Below are 17992 nucleotides of genomic sequence, written 5' to 3' on the forward strand. Positions count from 1 at the left end.
CTCGTGGTGGAAGCATTCCTTTCTTTGGAACTAAGACTTCTAGACCAGCAGAAGATAAGGCTGAGGAATCAGGAAGCAAAAATTTTGCTAGTGGGTCATTAGGGGTACCAGTGAATGGTGCTTCTCCCATTTTCAGCCCTTGATTCTGGGACTCATGAATCCTGGCCATGGGAGAAACAGCACCATGTATTGAATGCTGATCCAAAGCATACAAAGCCTTCTGAAGAGCCTTGTCCTAGCCTTGAAAGATAATGCCACCTAGCTGGTTCTGGAACTCTGTCTTTAGAAGGTCATTTCACCACTCTGTTAAGACAGCTTCTTGCAGATGATGAAAAATATGGTAATACTAGGGAATGCATGAGCATGCGCCAATTGCCGTACTTTATTTGCTGTAAGTTGAGTTCTTTGATGAAAACAAATGCTGTATAGAATACTATTATGGTGTATAAGACATGCTGTAAGTTCACAGATGATAGATTGGGTAGAAACAGTGTGTGCAGGGAAGGCAAATCCATATCAAGAGTGTCTATTCTGGTAAGAACAAGATGTTGCCCCTTCTATGATGGAAGAGGTCCAATGTAACCTGCCACTAGACAGCTGGGTGACCACCCCAGGCAATTGTGCCTGTTAGTGTTAGTCTCTGCCACTGGCAGACTGCGAACTCAGTGGTGGCTATAGCCACGTTGGCCTTGGTTGGTGGGATTTTATGCTACTGAACCCATACATAACCTCCATCCTGCTGAAACAGGAGAGTTCCCTGAACCCCTCATGGGACGTGCGACCAAGGTGTGGTTCATTTGTTCGGCCACCATGCACTCAAACCCCTTATGGGAGGAGGAGCATGCAGGTGAGCAGGTGCAGAGGCCAGGGCAAGTGTTTTTGGGATCCAGCCTCACAGCAGTGTTTAGGGGTGTTACAGTGGTCTTTTAGCCCTGCCATTGGGGACAGTTTAAGTGTTAAACAGCTCAGTAAAAAGGCAGTGTGACAGCCTTTTTGGGTTCCCACACCCAATACATCCCAAATTCTTGTCTTGCATCCAGAAAGAATCAGATCACTTGGACTTGAAGGATGGTAAATGTGGGGATTTTATTGAGTGATGGAGGTGGGGAACTGGAGAGGGAATGGAGTGGGAAGATGATCTTCCCTTGGAGTTTGGCCGTCCCCTGGCCAATCCCCTCTCCAACTGCCCCCAGCCGAACTCCTCTTGATGTTCAGATGCTTTCTCTCTTCTCTACTTCTCTGCCACACCACTCTGCTGCTTTCTGCTCATGGATCCTGGGGTTTGGGGTTTATATGGACAGAGGATAGGGGGCTGTGGTGGGCCAAAGGCAATGTCTGGGGCAAAAACAGGAATGCCTGTTCTTATTTAGGGCCACAGGTCTAGGCTTGAGGGTGGGGCCCTTGCCAGGGACCCTGCCCTCCTCCCACCTGCCTGTATCACTGCCACCATGGCCGCTTTTTTCATGAGCCCACTGGACAATGACAGGGATGGTTGGGGAGAGGCTGATTAGTATCCACAGAACAGGCCATCCTGTCTACTTAACTCCTAAAATCCTCCTCTGCTGAGGTCGCATGTTGGTGAACATTCCCATGGGATACAAATATCTCCACGTTTTTTGCCTATTTAAAGTGGTCTATCCACATATCCTTTCCTCAGATTTCCTTGTCACCAATTTTCGAATCATGTTCCTTCCAAGTCCCTCACCATTTAGCCAAATCACAGGCCGTAGCCCATGAATCAGCATATAATTGCATGTCTGGCCATTCAAAGTGAAAAACCAGGTGCACTGCTCAACATTCTGCACATTAAGATTTCCCTTCATCTTGGTCCTTCATAGCCTCCAGGAAAGGGCTGTATTGCTGCAGCTGTTCACTTTGGGCTAGTGCCTGCATATTATGCGAAACTATCTGTAAACCATACCTGAATCTTATCTTCCTCCACCAAGTGAATGTAGAGAACTTCCAGTGAGGCCATAGGTGCAGGCTGGGAGAGAGAAGGTAATGTAGCAGGTAGGGAGACCGTGAGCATTTTGACCACTTATTCATGTAAGATACTTATACCTGATTTAAATATTTATCACTTCTATTGGATGATGGAGTGCTACTGTTCACACCTAACTTTATGGCTAAGTAGATCAGATATCACTCCATTCATGATGGGCCACTCAGCTCATACGGTAACTTAGTGGTTGCCCATGGCTAAACAGTCAGCCTCTGCTAAGACTTAATAGCAAGCCAAGAGCTATTTCTCAAAAACAGAGTAGTTACCTGCAAAGGATAGCAGTGCTTTGCTCTAAATCCTAAGGGCCTACACTGTGACTCACCTCTAGGGGCCTGCCAAGGGCTCCAAATGGCTTCCCTATCTGCTGCAGACACTTCCAACACCACTGGATTGCAGGATCATATGGCCCTGGCAAAGAAGTTGCAAGGCAGCCTGGATCTGTGGCAGAACCTCCTTTTGTTCTGAGTCTCAGACAAAACTGGCTGTTTTTCCGATCATTCACTAGATGGGCTGGAGTAACATATCGAAATAAGGAATGTATTGCTTTCAAAATCCAAAGAGGCCCACGAAGCACTGTGGCTTTTTTTTTTTTTTTTTTTGTAGGAGGGGCCATAAGCAACAACTTATCCTCCATCTTAGAAGGAATATCTTGGCATATTCCACACCAATAGACCCTGAGGAATGTCATTGAGGTGGAAGATCACTATTTTTCCCCTATTTTGTTTGTCTTTTGTTTTCTTGACTTTATGGGCCTTCAATTTGTGTCCGATTTATTTCTCTGACATACAAATGTCTTACCAATACATCTAGGGTGGTGGCTACTTCTTGGCCACTAGGTCCAATTAACATACTATCATGGACCAGTGTGATCCCTTATAAAAGGGCAAGACAATAAAATGTCTGTGAACAAAATTATGACATATGGCTGGAGAGCTGAGAGACCCGAGAGGTAGGATCATGAAGATATATTTCTGGCTTTGGCAGCTAAAAGCAAACTGCTTCAAATGGTCTTTATTGACAGGTATGAAGGAAAAAGCACTTTTCAGATCAAGTACCAGGGGATGTGTTCATTTGCTCAAGAAATTAAACCACATCTGGTATAGCAGTTGCAATTGGAGTAACCACCTGGTGAGGCTTACAATAATCCACTGTCATTTTGAAAGGTCCATCTGTCCTCTGCACAGGCCAAATAGATAAGTTGAATGGTGATGTGGTGGGAATCACCACCTCTACGTCTTTCAAGTCCTTGAATGGGGGCACTGATCTCTGCAATCCCTTTAGGAATGTGCTCTGGCTTTTGTTTTATTGTATCCCTAGGTAGACGTAATTCTACTTGGCCTTTGCCACCGGAATAGCCCACACTCCACAGGTCAGGGCACCAATGTGGGGATTCTGTCAGCTGTTGAGTATATTTATGCCAATGATGCTTTCTGGAACTGAAGGAACAACCATGGGCTAGGCTTAGGGACTCACTGGACTCACTGTGAGATGGACCTCAACTAAAACTCCATTGATTACCTGAACTCCATAGGCCTGATTCTAAGCTGCAACATTAAATGCAGAATCTCTGCTTAGTGGGCTCATATTAATAAATTTGGCCTTACCCAACTTTATATTTCTTCCACTGTTATCCCACACCTTTAGTAACTATTCCCACATATGTTGCCCCTGGATTTCTTCTTGTGTAAATTAAAAACTCAAGTAATTCTTTTGGAGTGTAGCACTCCAACTTATGGACCACACTTTGTACCTCACCTCTAGGAACTTCTAGGGTCTTAAGTCTATTTAAGGGTCAAGAAGCAAGGAAAGGTGGTGGGAGTGAATCCTGAGAAGACTCATGGTTGTCTTGCATGGCAATTGCAACTGCTTTAGTGGAGGCCACTGCAATTTCCTCAGCTAATGCAGTGAATCTCCTCAGATGGGAATGGAGAGGCAGCTCTCAGTCAAGGTGGAGTGGCTTCTCCTACTGGGGTTCACGAGGGACCCCATTGACATTTAGGGGTTCAATGGCACTGAGGTTCATCAGGGCCTTCCCACACGGGCCCATGCCAACTTTCAGGATACCATTCCTTCCCAATCAATATCCTCACTTTAACAGTTCATACTTAACAAGGCTGGGAGTTCAACTTGCATTGTAATTCAGCAAGTCACAGAATGAGAATCTGGATTTGATTCTCAGCAATCTCAGCCCTGCAGCTACCAGAGCTAAGGGTCTTTTTCAGGGCACACATAGAAGCTTTTAGGTCATTTATGCAGCACTTGAGTTGGAAACTCAAATGCCTGAGCTCGTCGTTTTCTTTTCTTTTCTTTCTCCACTATGTTCAGTGACATTAGAAGCAACCAGCCCATCTCATTATACTCATTAGTTTGCCAAAAATATTTCAAAGTATCTTATACATAGTTAAACAGATTCTTGCTTCTTGTAAGTAGTTGAGTATCCAATGGTGATATTTTGTGTTTCTCCATTGTTACATCATGCCATGAACTATTAGTGCTCTTTTTACTACTGAAAATAAAATCATTAGTGTTTATAAATTTAATCAGCTTAGAGATCCAATTCCAGATATCCCAGAACTAATTCCTAAAACTCATCCTTAAAATTCTGTTCTTCTGGAATCACTCTTAGTGCCAAAATTTGTATTAGTTACCATCCTATATAAACAAATAGAACCAATAGGATGTATATATTCACAGAGAAAAAGATCTATTTATCTGGGTGAGAGAGAGATTTATTATAAAGAATTACCTCACACGATTATACAGAATGACAAGTCCCGAGAGGTGCAGTCAGCAAGCTGGAGACACAGAAGAGTTGGTGGTATCATTTCAGTGAGTCTGAAGGCCTGAAAACCAGGCAAACCAATCACGTGGCTTCATTCCAATTACTGATAGGCTCAAGACCCAGGAAGAGCCAATGTTTCAGCTTGATTTTGAAGGCAGAAAGAAACCAATGTCCCAGCACAAGGCAGTCAGGCGGTAGAAGACTGTCCCTTACTTTTGGAAGGGTCAGCCTTTTTATTCTATTCAAGTCTTCATCTGATTGGATGGGCCCCCCACACCCCACATTAGGGAGGGCAATCTGCTTTACTCAGTCTTCTGATTCAAGTGTTAATCTCATCCAAAACACGCTCATAGACATACTCCTAAATAATGTTTGACCAATATCCAGACACCCATGGCAAGCTGACACATAAAATTAACCATCAGAGATAGTAAAGAAGTTTGCTGCACTTAGGAGCTGGGCAGATAATTTCCTCCTTTCTTTCATTGACAGTAGTCTAAACATCACAAATTCCTCTTTGGAATAATGTTTTCTAGGCCTTTCTATGTTATAACACAAGCCATACTAGTGATAATAAGCAGTTCATTTTATTATAATGTTGTTTATAGGTTTTATATTCTACTCTTAAACCATTAAACAGTGCTACCTTGTGTTTAGCATATGTAAGAATTATAGTAAGAAACTGTATAATCATTTACCCTGATGATTATTTAGAGACAACATCTCCCCCTCTTCATTTTTGTTCACTTTCACTTGCCATTTTTCTGAATCTGCTCTGAATTCAGAAGTGGTTTTTTTCAGAAAGTGTTTTTCTTTGAAGCATTTTGAGCTTTGGATTTTCTCTGTTCTCTTGCTTCTCAATCAATTTAATACAATCTACTTTTCATCATTCATAAATCAACCTGTCCCTTGTCCGGAAATTCCTCAAGATATCTTATCTGCTCATAGTTTCCTTTCTTTCCTTTTAAGGCTACTATGAATTTCTTCTCAGTTATTAAGGTATTTGGTACACAGAAAAAGTTGTAATGAGGAGGTGTGTGGAAAATATGTTTCTAATAGGAAAGAGACAGACTAAACAAGCAGTCAGAAATAGAGGAAACAGAGATGATGCAGAAATAGAAGAAAGCTTTAACAAATTATAATAGTTGGCTGGGCACAGTGGCTCATGCCTGTAATCCCAGCACTTTGGGAGGCTGAAGTGGGCAGATCATGAGGTCAGGAGTTGTAGACCAGCCTGGCCAACATGGTGAAACCCCATCTCTACTAAAAATACAAAAGTTAGCCAGGTGTGGTGGTAGGCGCCTGTAATCCCAGCTACTTGGGAGGCTGAGGCAAGAGAATCACTTAAAACCCAAGGCGGAGTTTGCAGTGAGCCGAGATCATGCCACTGCACTCCAGCCTGGGTGGAAGGGTGAAACTCTGTCTCAAAAAAAAAAAATTATAATAGTCACAGAGAGATAACAGAATATATTGTAATCATAGACCTCAAATGGGATCCTATTAAAAGTAAATGTTCTGAAAAGAATAAAGGTGTCTTAGAAATTCAAAGCAGGATAAAGTTAGTGTAGGAGAGTATATTATCAAAGCAATAATACAATATAACATAATATATATTACATTTATTTTTCTGAAGGTCTCTCTTCTCCGGCCTCTTTTCTCTTTCTCCAATCTGAACTTATATTTCTTCAGGTCTAATACAGCAGTCATCCTGTGATATCTCTTTGCTTTGCTCTTTCTGAGGTGGTTAATATTTATATTATAAATGTAATATAAAATAATATAAAATCACATTTTATATTTAAAATCAATATTGAGAAAAGCACTATACTTCTTAATAAAACTCTAGATACCAAAACACCAAATAGTGCACTGTGATTTATATTTATGGAGCAATGCCTTCATATTATTAAAGAAAATTATTTTCAGTCTACTTAGCCAAACTTTTAATTAATCACGAGGGAATAATGAAGTTATTTTCAGTCACACAAGATATTGAGAAATATCCCTTCAACACCATCTGCCTCAGGAAGCTTTTGGAGGATATGCTTATGCCAAGCAATGGATTAAGCAAAGCATAGGATCCGGGATACAGAAAAGGAAGGATCTAGCCAGTAAAGCAGTAAAGCAAAAGACATCCCAGGATAACCACTGTATTGGACCTAGAGAAAGATAAGTTCAGATTTAAGCAGAAGGAAAGAAGGCTGGGACAGGGGGCCTCAGGAAAAACAAAAACAAAAACAAAAAACAAAAATGAATTTATAGTTTATTTGACATATATTAGCATTTGGAAAGATTATTTATAGGTATTTGCCATATCTGTTGGTGTATTTGGAAAAAAATAGAATGCAAAGCAAAGACAAAAGATAAAATTATTAGCTTTAAGAAAAATTATATAAGAAGGGAAAGAATCACAGTCAACTACTTGGTTTGACGGTGAACAATCATTTACATGGCCAAAAAAACTGAAATACTGTCTATTGATTTTAACTACATAAAAATCCCATAGTGAGGAAAATGTGGGATGATAATAGAAAAAGAACAAAATCTTCATTTTAAGCATCATGTGTAAAACTGACTATTCAAAAATGGTAGTATAAAATTATTATTTAAAACTATGAAAGTAAGTCCAGGTGCAGTGGCCCATGCCTGTAATCCCAGCACTTTTGGAGACAGAGGCAGAAGGACAGCTTGAAGCCAGGAGTTTGAGACAAGCCCGGGCAACAAACCAAGACCTCCCGCCCCAATACCCTGCCTATATCTACACGAAATTTTAAAAATTAGCTGAGCATGGTGGCATCCAACTGTAGCCCCAGCTACTTCAGAGGCTGAGACGGGAGGATCCCTTGAGCCCAGGAGCTCAAGGCTACAGTGAGCTATCATTGCGCCACTGTATTCCAGCTTGGGTGACAGAGCACAAGGACCCATCTCTAAAAAGAAGGAAATAAAAAGTGAAAGTAAGTATCAGAAGAAATAGGAAAATGAGTTTAAAATAGGTGAATGGTGAGGCAGGGATTACTGATTATAAGTCATTTAGCATTATCTGATTTTTTAAACTGTGTGCATGTATTGTTTTAGCAAAAAGATCAAATCTAAAAAGAATACAGATGCAAATAAAATGATACCAAAATATAATGAATATAATTTTAAAACATATTTGTAAATGTTAGTTCTTTCCTAAATGTGGCATTGATATGGTTTGGCTCTGCGTTCCCACCCAAATCTCATGTCAAATTATAATCCCCACATGTCAAAGGAGGGATTTGTAATCCCCACATGTTGAGGGAGGGAGGTGCTTGGATCATGGGAGTGGTTTTCCCCATGCTGTTCTCGTGACAATGAGTGAGTTCTCACAAGATCTGATGGTTTGACAGTTCCTCCTTCATATGCTCTCTCTTGCCTGCTGCCATGTAAGATGTACCTGCTTCCTCTTCTGCCATAATTGTACGTTTCTTGAGGCCTCCCCAGCCATGCCGAACTCTGAGTCGATTAAACCTCTTTTCTTTATAAATTACCCAGTCTCGGGCAGTTCTTTATAGCAGTGTAAAAACAGACTAAAACAAGCTAATGCTAATACATTGATACTTTATATAGCCTTAAGGAAACAAATAAATTGATCACATATATATACATATATATGTGTAGCATTAGCTTCATGGTTAATAGCAGTTAACAGACACAAAAGTCAAGGTGACAGACATTACTATTCACCTCATGAGTTTAAGGTTAATTGACTAACAATAGTGGCAAAAAATTTTATTGTAAAATCTATTTCTATAGACATGTAGAATCCAGAGACATGAGCATGTATGTCTTGATGAAGATACTAGATGCAGCATTCTGGCAGTATTTGAAGACTGAATTATAAAAATCTGCTTCATTTCATGGATGTACCTAAAACTTCAGGCCAAAGGTGCAGCATTTAGAATCTGCAAGGGAGAGGAGGAGACATTAGGAGAGAAAGAAGAAAGTAATATAGGAAAGAAAGATTAAGAACAGATGGCCATTACTATAAGGAAAGAAGGCACCTTGACTGTGTTATATTACTACTACTACACTGAGTAGTAAAGGAACTAGTATTTTTTCATTAAGCAAGGAGATGCTAGGTGATCCCTAGGCAGGAAACAACACTCAAAGGACTGTAAATTCTGAATTAGCAAACTTCTTGGAGAGGAAGATGACAAATGATTACCAGGCACGAAGTTCCAATCCTTATCTAATACCGGTTTTCTGAAAAAGGAAATTAAGGTGGCATATAGAAATTGTCATAAGTTGTAAAGAATTACCTGATGATATGTATGCCACTGATCTTATTCCCATTAACTAGCAGATTTTGAAACCTGTCTACGGGGTTTTAGTAGTGATTAAATTTATGTTTGTTATAGGCATTATTAAAGCACAGTGGAGTAATTGATACAATTACTGTAAACATCTAGAAGGCATAAGCTATTTTTAGAGTAAAAATGCAGGGATAATAAAGTCACAACTTTGAAACTGACCCCCCTCCCCAATTACCTGCTTGGTAATGAATGACTTGGAAAACACAATGATGACTTAACTTTATAAATGTGCGACTTAATTTTATAAAATAATTCAAAAAAGATATTAAAAATATTTGCTAGGCCGGGCGCAGTGGCTCACGCCTGTAATCCCAGCACTTTGGGAGGCCAAGGTGGGCGGATCATGAGGTCAGATCGAGACCATCCTGGCCAACATGGTGAAACCCCGTCTCTACTAAAAATACAAAAATTAGCTGGACATGGTGGTGCGTGCCTGTAATCCCAGCTACTCAGGAGGCTGAGGCAAGAGAATTGCTTGAACCCGGGAGGAGGAGGTTGCAGTGAGCCGAGGTCACACCACTGCACTCCAGCCTGGCAACAGTGAGACTCCGTCTCAAAAAAATAATAATAATTAGAAAAAAAATAAAAATTTGCTCATCAATTAAAATTCTTAAATGAAAATTAAAGAATTAAAATGATTTAATATTTTCACTAATAAGGTAGATGAATTATGTCATATTGCTATTCTTTACAGTTTGGATATAACTATTGTGTGAACAGGTTTCAATAAAAGTCTACCTTATATTTTGTGTGTGACAAAAATAATATATAATTGGTTTAAATAAGTCAACCATACAAGAATGTATAAAAAGGCAGATAAATATTCTCCCCCTTGCCCCATTCAATGTCACAACTTGTCTGTGATTTTAACATTAGGCGTGTGTCTGCTCATCCGGTACAAATATATTGCACTTATATAGCATTATTCTGTTTTTTTCAAAAGTGAGAAAATACACTGTAATTTTTTAAACTAGCAATTACTGTAGACATCTCTTCTGATCCATACTTTTAGGTCACTTAAACAGCTCATAACATAGATGTGTTATAATGTTTTGACCATTGCCCTACTGAGGGACATTCAGAATATTTGTAGTTGTTTACTACTATATTAAAATGAACCTCCTTTTACATATATCTTTATATATTGCTATTTCATTTCTGTAGGATATATTCATAAAAGTAGAATTTGCACTTTGGGAGACCGAGGTGGGCAGATCATGAGGTCAGGAGATGGAGACTATCCTGGCTAACACAGTGAGACCTCATCTCTACTAAAAATACAAAAAATTAGCCGGGCGTGGTGGCACAGCCTGTAGTCCCAGCTACTCAGGAGGCATAGGCAGAAGTTGCAGTGAGCCGAGATCGCGCCACTGCACTCCAGCCTGTGCGACAGAGACTTCGTCTCAAAAAAAAAAAATCTTTTTGCTAGATGAAAAATACATAAAATCGTCATTATTATCATCATTATTAGTATTGAATAGGTACTACATAAGCACGGTAAACAGAAAAACATTCAAAAAGGAAAAAGGGATATAAAAACAAAGTCTATTACACACTGATTCCTGTTATGTTTAAAAAGTTTGGAGAGGCAGGGCGCGGTGGCTCACGCCTGTAATCCCAGCACTTTGGGAGGCCGAGGCGGGCGGATCACGAGGTCAGGAGATCGAGACCATCCTGGCTAACACGGTGAAACCCCGTCTCTACTAAAAATACAAAAAATTAGCCGGGCGTGGTGGCGGGCGCCTGTAGTCCCAGCTACTTGGGAGGCTGAGGCAGGAGAATGGCGTGAACCCGGGAGGCAGAACTTGCAGTGAGCCGAGATCGCGCCATTGCACTCCAGCCTGGGCGAGAGAGCGAGACTTCGTCTCAAAAAAAAGTTTGGAGAATATATCATCTAATATACATACTAACCCAGAAGACTGAATTATGATAATCATTAATGTGTGAATAGATACACTAGTGACTATCTTGATATCAAATATTCAATGAAGTTCCTGTCTTTTCAGTAAAATGTCTGTGGCAGGTTCTTACTTTACAGGCATTTAAATTGGTCAGCTCCATCACCTAATAGATTCTGAAATTGATATTTTATGGATTATATAGACTACCAGACTTTCAAAGGATAGGCAGACCTTTTAAAAAATCTGCAAATTTTGAACTTTTATTGCTCTTCCTATACAAAACGAGAATCCAGATGAACCAGTGATTAACTATTTACTGGCAACAAGTCTGATGAATACTTAAAGGAGTTGCCTAGAAAAAACAAAGACCTCCCCCTAATCACACCCAACCCCCAGGGTCACTATAAGATAACAATGACTCTTAACTAGAATGCATGCTCACTGAGGGCTGGGATATTTTTTTTTTTTTTTTTTTTTTTTTTGAGACGGAGTCTCGCTCTGTCGCCCAGGCTGGAGTGCAGTGGCGGGATCTCGGCTCACTGCAAGCTCCGCCTCCCGGGTTCACGCCATTCTCCTGCCTCAGCCTCCCAAGTAGCTAGGACTACAGGCGCCCGCCACTACGCCCGGCTATTTTTTGTAGTTTTAGTAGAGACGGGGTTTCACCGTTTTAGCCGGGATGGTCTCGATCTCCTGACCTCGTGATCCGCCCGCCTCGGCCTCCCAAAGTGCTGGGATCACAGGCGTGAGACACCGCCCCCGGCCGGGATTTTTATTTTTTCTGCTGTATCCCCCAGTGGCTAGTGTCAGAGATAGAGATTCAATAAATACTAGTTGATTGCATAGTATTCAAATTTGGCCAAGAACTTGAGGACATGGGCTTTCAAATTATCTGATTCCAACATTTAAGCCAGGAAGAGCTAAGAAGCATTCACTCTAAATAGTATACATAAAAACAATTGAAAGCAAGTAACATATGGGAAGGGTAATTCCTTAGAAGTGATGTTATACATATGATGCAAATCACACATCACATCAAAGTCTTGTTCTACTTCCTAGTTTTAGCTTTTTAGCTTTCACAGTGCTAGGTTGGCTCGTCTGATCCCAGAAGTATCCTTGCATCATGACATATCACAGGTACATAATTCAACTCAATTCACACATAAATGGGAAAAAAAAAAAGAGAAACTTACGAGACTCAGAGGCACATTCAATAGGTTTACATTTAATAAAGGCTGTGGCGAGACACTTCAGGAAAACTGAAGACAGAACTCTCTTGGTTTGGCAATATTAAACTGGAAGCAGGGCTGGGTGCAGTGGCTCCCACTTGCAATCCCAGCACTTTGGGAGGCCGAGGTGGGCGGATCATCTGAGGTCAGGAGTTCGAGACCAGCCTGGCCTACATGGTGAAACCCGTCTCTACTAAAAATACAAAAATTAGCTGGGCATTGTGGCACACGCCTGTAATCAATCCCAGCTACTTGGGAGGCTGCGGCAGGAGAATCACTTGAACCCGGGAGGCGGAGGTTGCGGTGAGCTGAGATCGTGCCATTGCACTCCAGCCTGGGGGACAAGAGCGAGACTTCGTCTCATAAATAAATAAATAAATAAATAAACTGGAAGCAGAAGTATTGACTTAAGGCCCTTTCTGCCATTTTGATTCTAGAAAAAATAAAAACTGCTTGATGATTAATTAATTTTTTGCCAAACAGAAGGGATTAGTAGCAGGATTATTTTCCCTCAAAATTATGTAAAATTGAAATATTTTTGATTTGTATGCATTTTTTGTTACAAGTGGTAATGAGAATATAGCAGAGAAACTTATAAATTAGGTCCTTTAATAACTAATACTTCCAAAAGTAAAAAAAACTAAAATATTTCCAATTAGAAGCAATGATTAAACTTAAATACTATCTATCTATACAACTTGGGAGCAAAAGGGATATCTGTAGCTATGATGTGAATCTGATTTGACAGATTATATACTTTTACGTTGAGTATAATGACTAGTATTATAAAAGGGAGCTATAACTAGTAGAAAAATAACTCAGTAAGATTCTGCTGTTTTGTAATCAGGAAATATATTTGTCATTGACTCACAAAACAAAATGTGCTTTCAAAATCTTTTGAAACAATTTTTCTGAAATTTATTTCTAAAAGTCAGAGACAAAACTTTAGAAGTGACACATTTATACTAAGCATACATGCGTGAGCAAAAAAAATAAGCACAGAATACAAAAATGAAATAGTAAAATTTTAATACAGTATTCTGAATACAAGTAGAATACCACTAGATAAGAATTGTATTTACCTAAGAAATCTATGATAGTGTGGGTGGAGATAAACCAGTTTAGGATAGCCACTTCACTATTCACATTTTAATCAGTGCTGACCAGAAGCTAAAGCAATTTCTTTTAGGCTAAGATTGGCAAAAAATCATAGACCCAATTTTCCTTGTTATGAATCAAATGAACATGTTTTAAGGTGATTTGTCCTCATTTAACGGTAGCTGGGGTAAGTCAAACCACAGAGAGCCCTTACAAAGACTAAGCACCAAATGATGAACTGTTTGTGGCTTTTGTTTTGGGCCATCTTAAGTTTTGTGTTTTCCATTAACATTCATGTGCAAATTCTTACAGGCAAAAGTTTTAACGTGGAAGTTTCAGCTTGGAGATCTTGCCAACTGTACTTACAACAGTTTTAAAGCAATTGATACTTTCAGAACAATCTCAAGCTTAATTGGTTACCATTATAAGATGCAGAACTTTTTAATGTTTTCTGGTCCCTGAAAATTCAATAGGGCCAAATGCATTAACTGGAAATAGCATTTTTTTAAAGTCTTAATCAAAGATGATAATGGATAAAACAACTATATAGGCTCTCATACACAATCTTTCTTAATTTTCACCTTGTAAGAAATGATTACAATGTCCTTCAGGCTTGTTATACACCCCCACAGAATCAAGAAGAAAGCCAACAAAGAATTGAACATTTCAACAAGCTAGGAAATATTTACTGTAAGCATATTGTGAAATTCTGGAAGACATACTATCAATACTTTGAGAAAACACTATTAACATGTGTTGAAGAAGGCAGTTTATAAATGAAACATTACAAATCTTATGTTTATGCATACAACTTATAAAATAGAAAAAAGCTGCTATTTTTCCAATAGTATAGCATCACACTAACACTATATAGTTAAGATTGAAAACTTCTGTACACACGTTCACTACACCTCCAAAGCAGCATATGCCTCTTAGACATCCTCATTTGTTATCTAACATATGCCAATCATGGTTTCAGGGATTTGTATCAGTTCGAGCAGGCTAAAACAATCATTCTGCTGTATTTATTTAACTTTAGACACAGTTAACTAGCTTCAGGGAACAAAAGTTCCATAATCAATGAAGAAACATTAATACCAAATCCCCACAACAGGATGGAAAACATTTCTAAGGAGAGGATATAATCCTAACAGAATGGACTATGCCCCTAGTTACAGTGAATGTGGGAATTAATTAGGAGTCTGAAAAAATACATTAAGATATATAAAATTTAAGTGATTATCAAATCAGTAGTAACTACTAAAACTTAAATATGAATTATTGATGTTTTTCTAATGCAACATCATCCAGTTTACTGCTTAGGACCACTCTCAAAGCTGATCTGCCATTACATTTTGCTATTAGTGCAAATTAATACCCAAATAATAGGGAGCAGTTTGAATCACATGGAATTTCAAAAAACAGAATGATTGTGTATCTTTTCGTATTCTGAAAATAGTGCTATAAAACTCAATTATTCCTAGCTTCTAAAATCTACCATCTTAGATAGTTCAAATTAAACATGGTTGCCTGCAAATTCTTTTCTAGAGGAAGTAAACGCAAAACACATATGGTTATGTTTTGCTGCTGGTCTCCTCATACATGTGCTTCATCAACGAGAGCACTACTCTAGGCATGCATTTATCATACTACTTTAACATAACTGAACATGAGGAAAACAGTTCACATTTTGATAAGTGATTTATTTTGGCGGCAGGCTTATTTTTTAATGAAAACAAATCTCTGAAGTCAAATGGCCAGTTTGACAACCTGAATTAGAAACTTAAGTCTGTAAAAAAATCTTAAGACATGGAAAGCTGTTACTGAAAAATACACAATCTAACTTTTTTTCACTTTGGCTTTTTCTTTTATAAATGAAGATTTGTGGTAAAAGTCAAAGATAACTCCAAGTCACACAGGGCATCATTTGTCACTGCTTTGTAATAGAAATATATAAGTATTTTTAACTTGAATTTCAAAGAATTTAAGATTTTTTATTAAAGCTCTAGTCCAAGTTTCCAGCTGTTAAATTTTTAAAAAATATAATTTGGGTCTCTGATAGAACTTAGCTGGGCTAAGCTACTTGGATAACCTTACAGGATAGTGAGGTTCAAACAGAGATCATTTCCTGAACATGGCTGATCTTTAAGAGAACAATTTCCTCACCCAAAGTTATGCAGGATACTGCCAGATCTCCAATACAAAAAACCTGCCAGAATTTCTAGACAATTGTTTACCATCCATGTTAAAAACCTTGTACCACCAGAGGCAAAGCAGATAAAGTAAACTTGTTTCTAGTCTAGACTATTCACCTAAATAAACTCATAAAGTTGTAGAGAAAAATTAATGAATAGAAAGTAATTTTATCTGATCTGTCAGCCAAAAAAAAATTACTAATTCTCTATAATAAAGAGAAAACTCAACCATAAAATGTCTGTTTAAGTAAAAATGCCAATCTTGAAATCTTTTAACACCAAGACATAGAAAAAAGTTTAGAAATTCAAGATGATGCTTAAAATGAAAGCTATGGTTCGAAATTAGTATTCATAGTAAGAGACTAAAATCCTGTCACTGCAAAATTCCCCTTGGCTTTTGGCATTGACGTTGAAAGATTTTAGTCTTTTGGTCACTTGAAGCTGCTACAAAATACAACAATAAGCCTTTAAAATGGGGGCGGGGGAAGTATGGAATTGAAAGATAGTTAAGGTGACTACATCATATACAAGTAAAACATAGTTTGAAATAAACAGTCATTTCTGCTAGGGATCTGAAGATATAAGAACAGTTTTCCACTATCTCCCTTCCTTTTTGAAGAGGATCCTCTAAAGAAAATAATTCCTTTAAGTTACTGTTAAGTGGTGTTGCCTGGCAGCAGCTTCAATAGGCTAGTCTTCAATCCAAGTAATTAAGTAATCTCACAAGGAATAATCATACATGGCAACAGGGTAAAAAAGCAGGGCAGTTCTTCCATGCACAAACATTTCAGGAGAAAAACCATTAATTTTAAAGATAACCATCAGGTTTCAGGTATCCTAGCACACTCTAAACCTAGGTTTTGCTTTATACCATTGGTGACTAAAATTAACAATAAGTTTTGCAGTGAGGTGGTTTTTTTTTTGCCTGCAACTATATACACATTGCAAAACTATTCTGCGTCACATGATTTTAAATGAAATAAATACAAAAATGAACCACACAATCAACACATAACTTTAATACTCCACATTTATCTTGATCACAATGGTGGTAACCTCCTAGTCAACAATCTTGTGAGTTGAGGAGTTGATTCTCATTCTCATATCCATCAGGAAGATATGCCCTCCGTAGCTGGTCTGACTTAGGTATGGAGCCTCCATTCTTCACATGGCGAGATAGGAAAGCACGGACTGCTGGGTGATCAGCCTTCTCAAGTGGGATGTTGGCTTCCAGGCACATTTTCACAAAGTCCTGGATAACACTGACTTTCTCTGTTTGCGCAGTACTGTTGCACTGAAGAGATGCAGTTAGGGGCCTCTGCTTCTTTCTCACATTCTGCTCTTCAAATTCTGCCTTCCTCTTGGTATGAGTCTTTGACTTGAGGTGGTCACTAATGGCAGACTTGCGAACATGATTCAGAACCACATTGCAAGAAGTGCAGAAGAGTTTTCCTCCATCTTCATGCAGCTCACCTCCAAACTCAGTGACTCGATCCAGGGGAGTCACATACAAAGCAGTCTTAGAACGGTTTCGAGCAGGTGGTGCTGTTACTACAAATCGCTCCATTCTGACTCTAAATAAATATGGTTCTTTCAAGACAAAAGAAACAAAGATGAGTATTATAACAACAGTTCATTCTGGAAGTAATGAACAATAAAAGGCAGTATATAAACACTTCAAATACTTCAAAAAACTTAATTCAAATTAGTAGACTGTGTGTCTATTAATCTTAACTTACCTGAAATATATAAGGGAAGGCAAAACTAGAACAAGTTACTAACCAGTCGCAATCAGGTCCATTCCTTGATTTTTACGAAATTCAAGTAAATTAGACTATAAAGAAAGAACTCAAACTATCCCAGATGTCACCATTATTTAGGGAAACCTAATCACAGTTCAACATTTAGGATATAAATTACATTCAGGATATAAATTGTATTAATCTCATCTAACTTAGATATGCATTCAAGTTCAAAAGAGCTTCTTTCCTGTCACAATTCTGGGACAACTGATTTTAGGAACACAACTGTGGATAAAGTTTTTTCAAACAGGTGGGCCTATAAACTGCCATAATTCTATATGAAGATGAATATAGTTTCCAAAATTGTTCTGAGGAAAAACCACAAAAAAAAACCAGACCAAATACAACTAAAAGCAACAATGACATTAAATTGTAAAGCCAAAATATACAGTTCAAAGTTATTTTGTAATGCATGTATACCTCCGTTTTCCAAAAGGTGTTAAGATATGCAAAGTCTTACTTCTCTAATACTTGTTTCCTTTTCCCATTAAAATTAATAATTACATTTGTTAATACTTACTTCACTTAACTAGTAAGAACAAAATCAAGAACATAGAGTCTAGTATACAGCAGAACCTCAATTAAAATTTGATGGAAAAAGTACGTATCTTCAATATTTGTCCAAATATTTATATTTATTTAATCTAGA

At 38.4% G+C, this 17992-nt stretch overlaps 1 protein-coding gene across 3 annotated transcripts in view, besides 1 other annotated feature; it reads right to left on the reverse strand.

The window, feature by feature from the left end:
• Positions 6813 to 8012: an enhancer, noted in NCBI's record as "MED14-independent group 3 enhancer chr3:88094831-88096030 (GRCh37/hg19 assembly coordinates)". NCBI's record gives its function as "activates an origin of replication core promoter dependent on BRD2, BRD4, P300/CBP and CDK7 cofactors, and independent of MED14, by STARR-seq in HCT116 cells {active_cell/tissue: HCT116}" and the evidence as "EXISTENCE:reporter gene assay evidence [ECO:0000049][PMID:35650434]".
• Positions 13082 to 17992, reverse strand: part of CGGBP1 (CGG triplet repeat binding protein 1) — a 97921-nt gene continuing 93010 nt past the window's right edge. For all 3 annotated transcript variants that reach the window (NM_001195308.2, NM_003663.4, NM_001008390.2), the window contains one exon: positions 13082 to 17131. In NM_001195308.2, coding sequence (NP_001182237.1) covers positions 16605 to 17108 — 504 coding nt within the window. In that variant the 5' untranslated portion in view covers positions 17109 to 17131 and the 3' untranslated portion in view covers positions 13082 to 16604. The remainder of the gene's footprint in view (positions 17132 to 17992) is intronic.

This window comes from Homo sapiens, chromosome 3 (assembly GCF_000001405.40).
Source record: "Homo sapiens chromosome 3, GRCh38.p14 Primary Assembly".
Classification (NCBI taxonomy): Eukaryota; Metazoa; Chordata; class Mammalia; order Primates; family Hominidae; genus Homo; species Homo sapiens.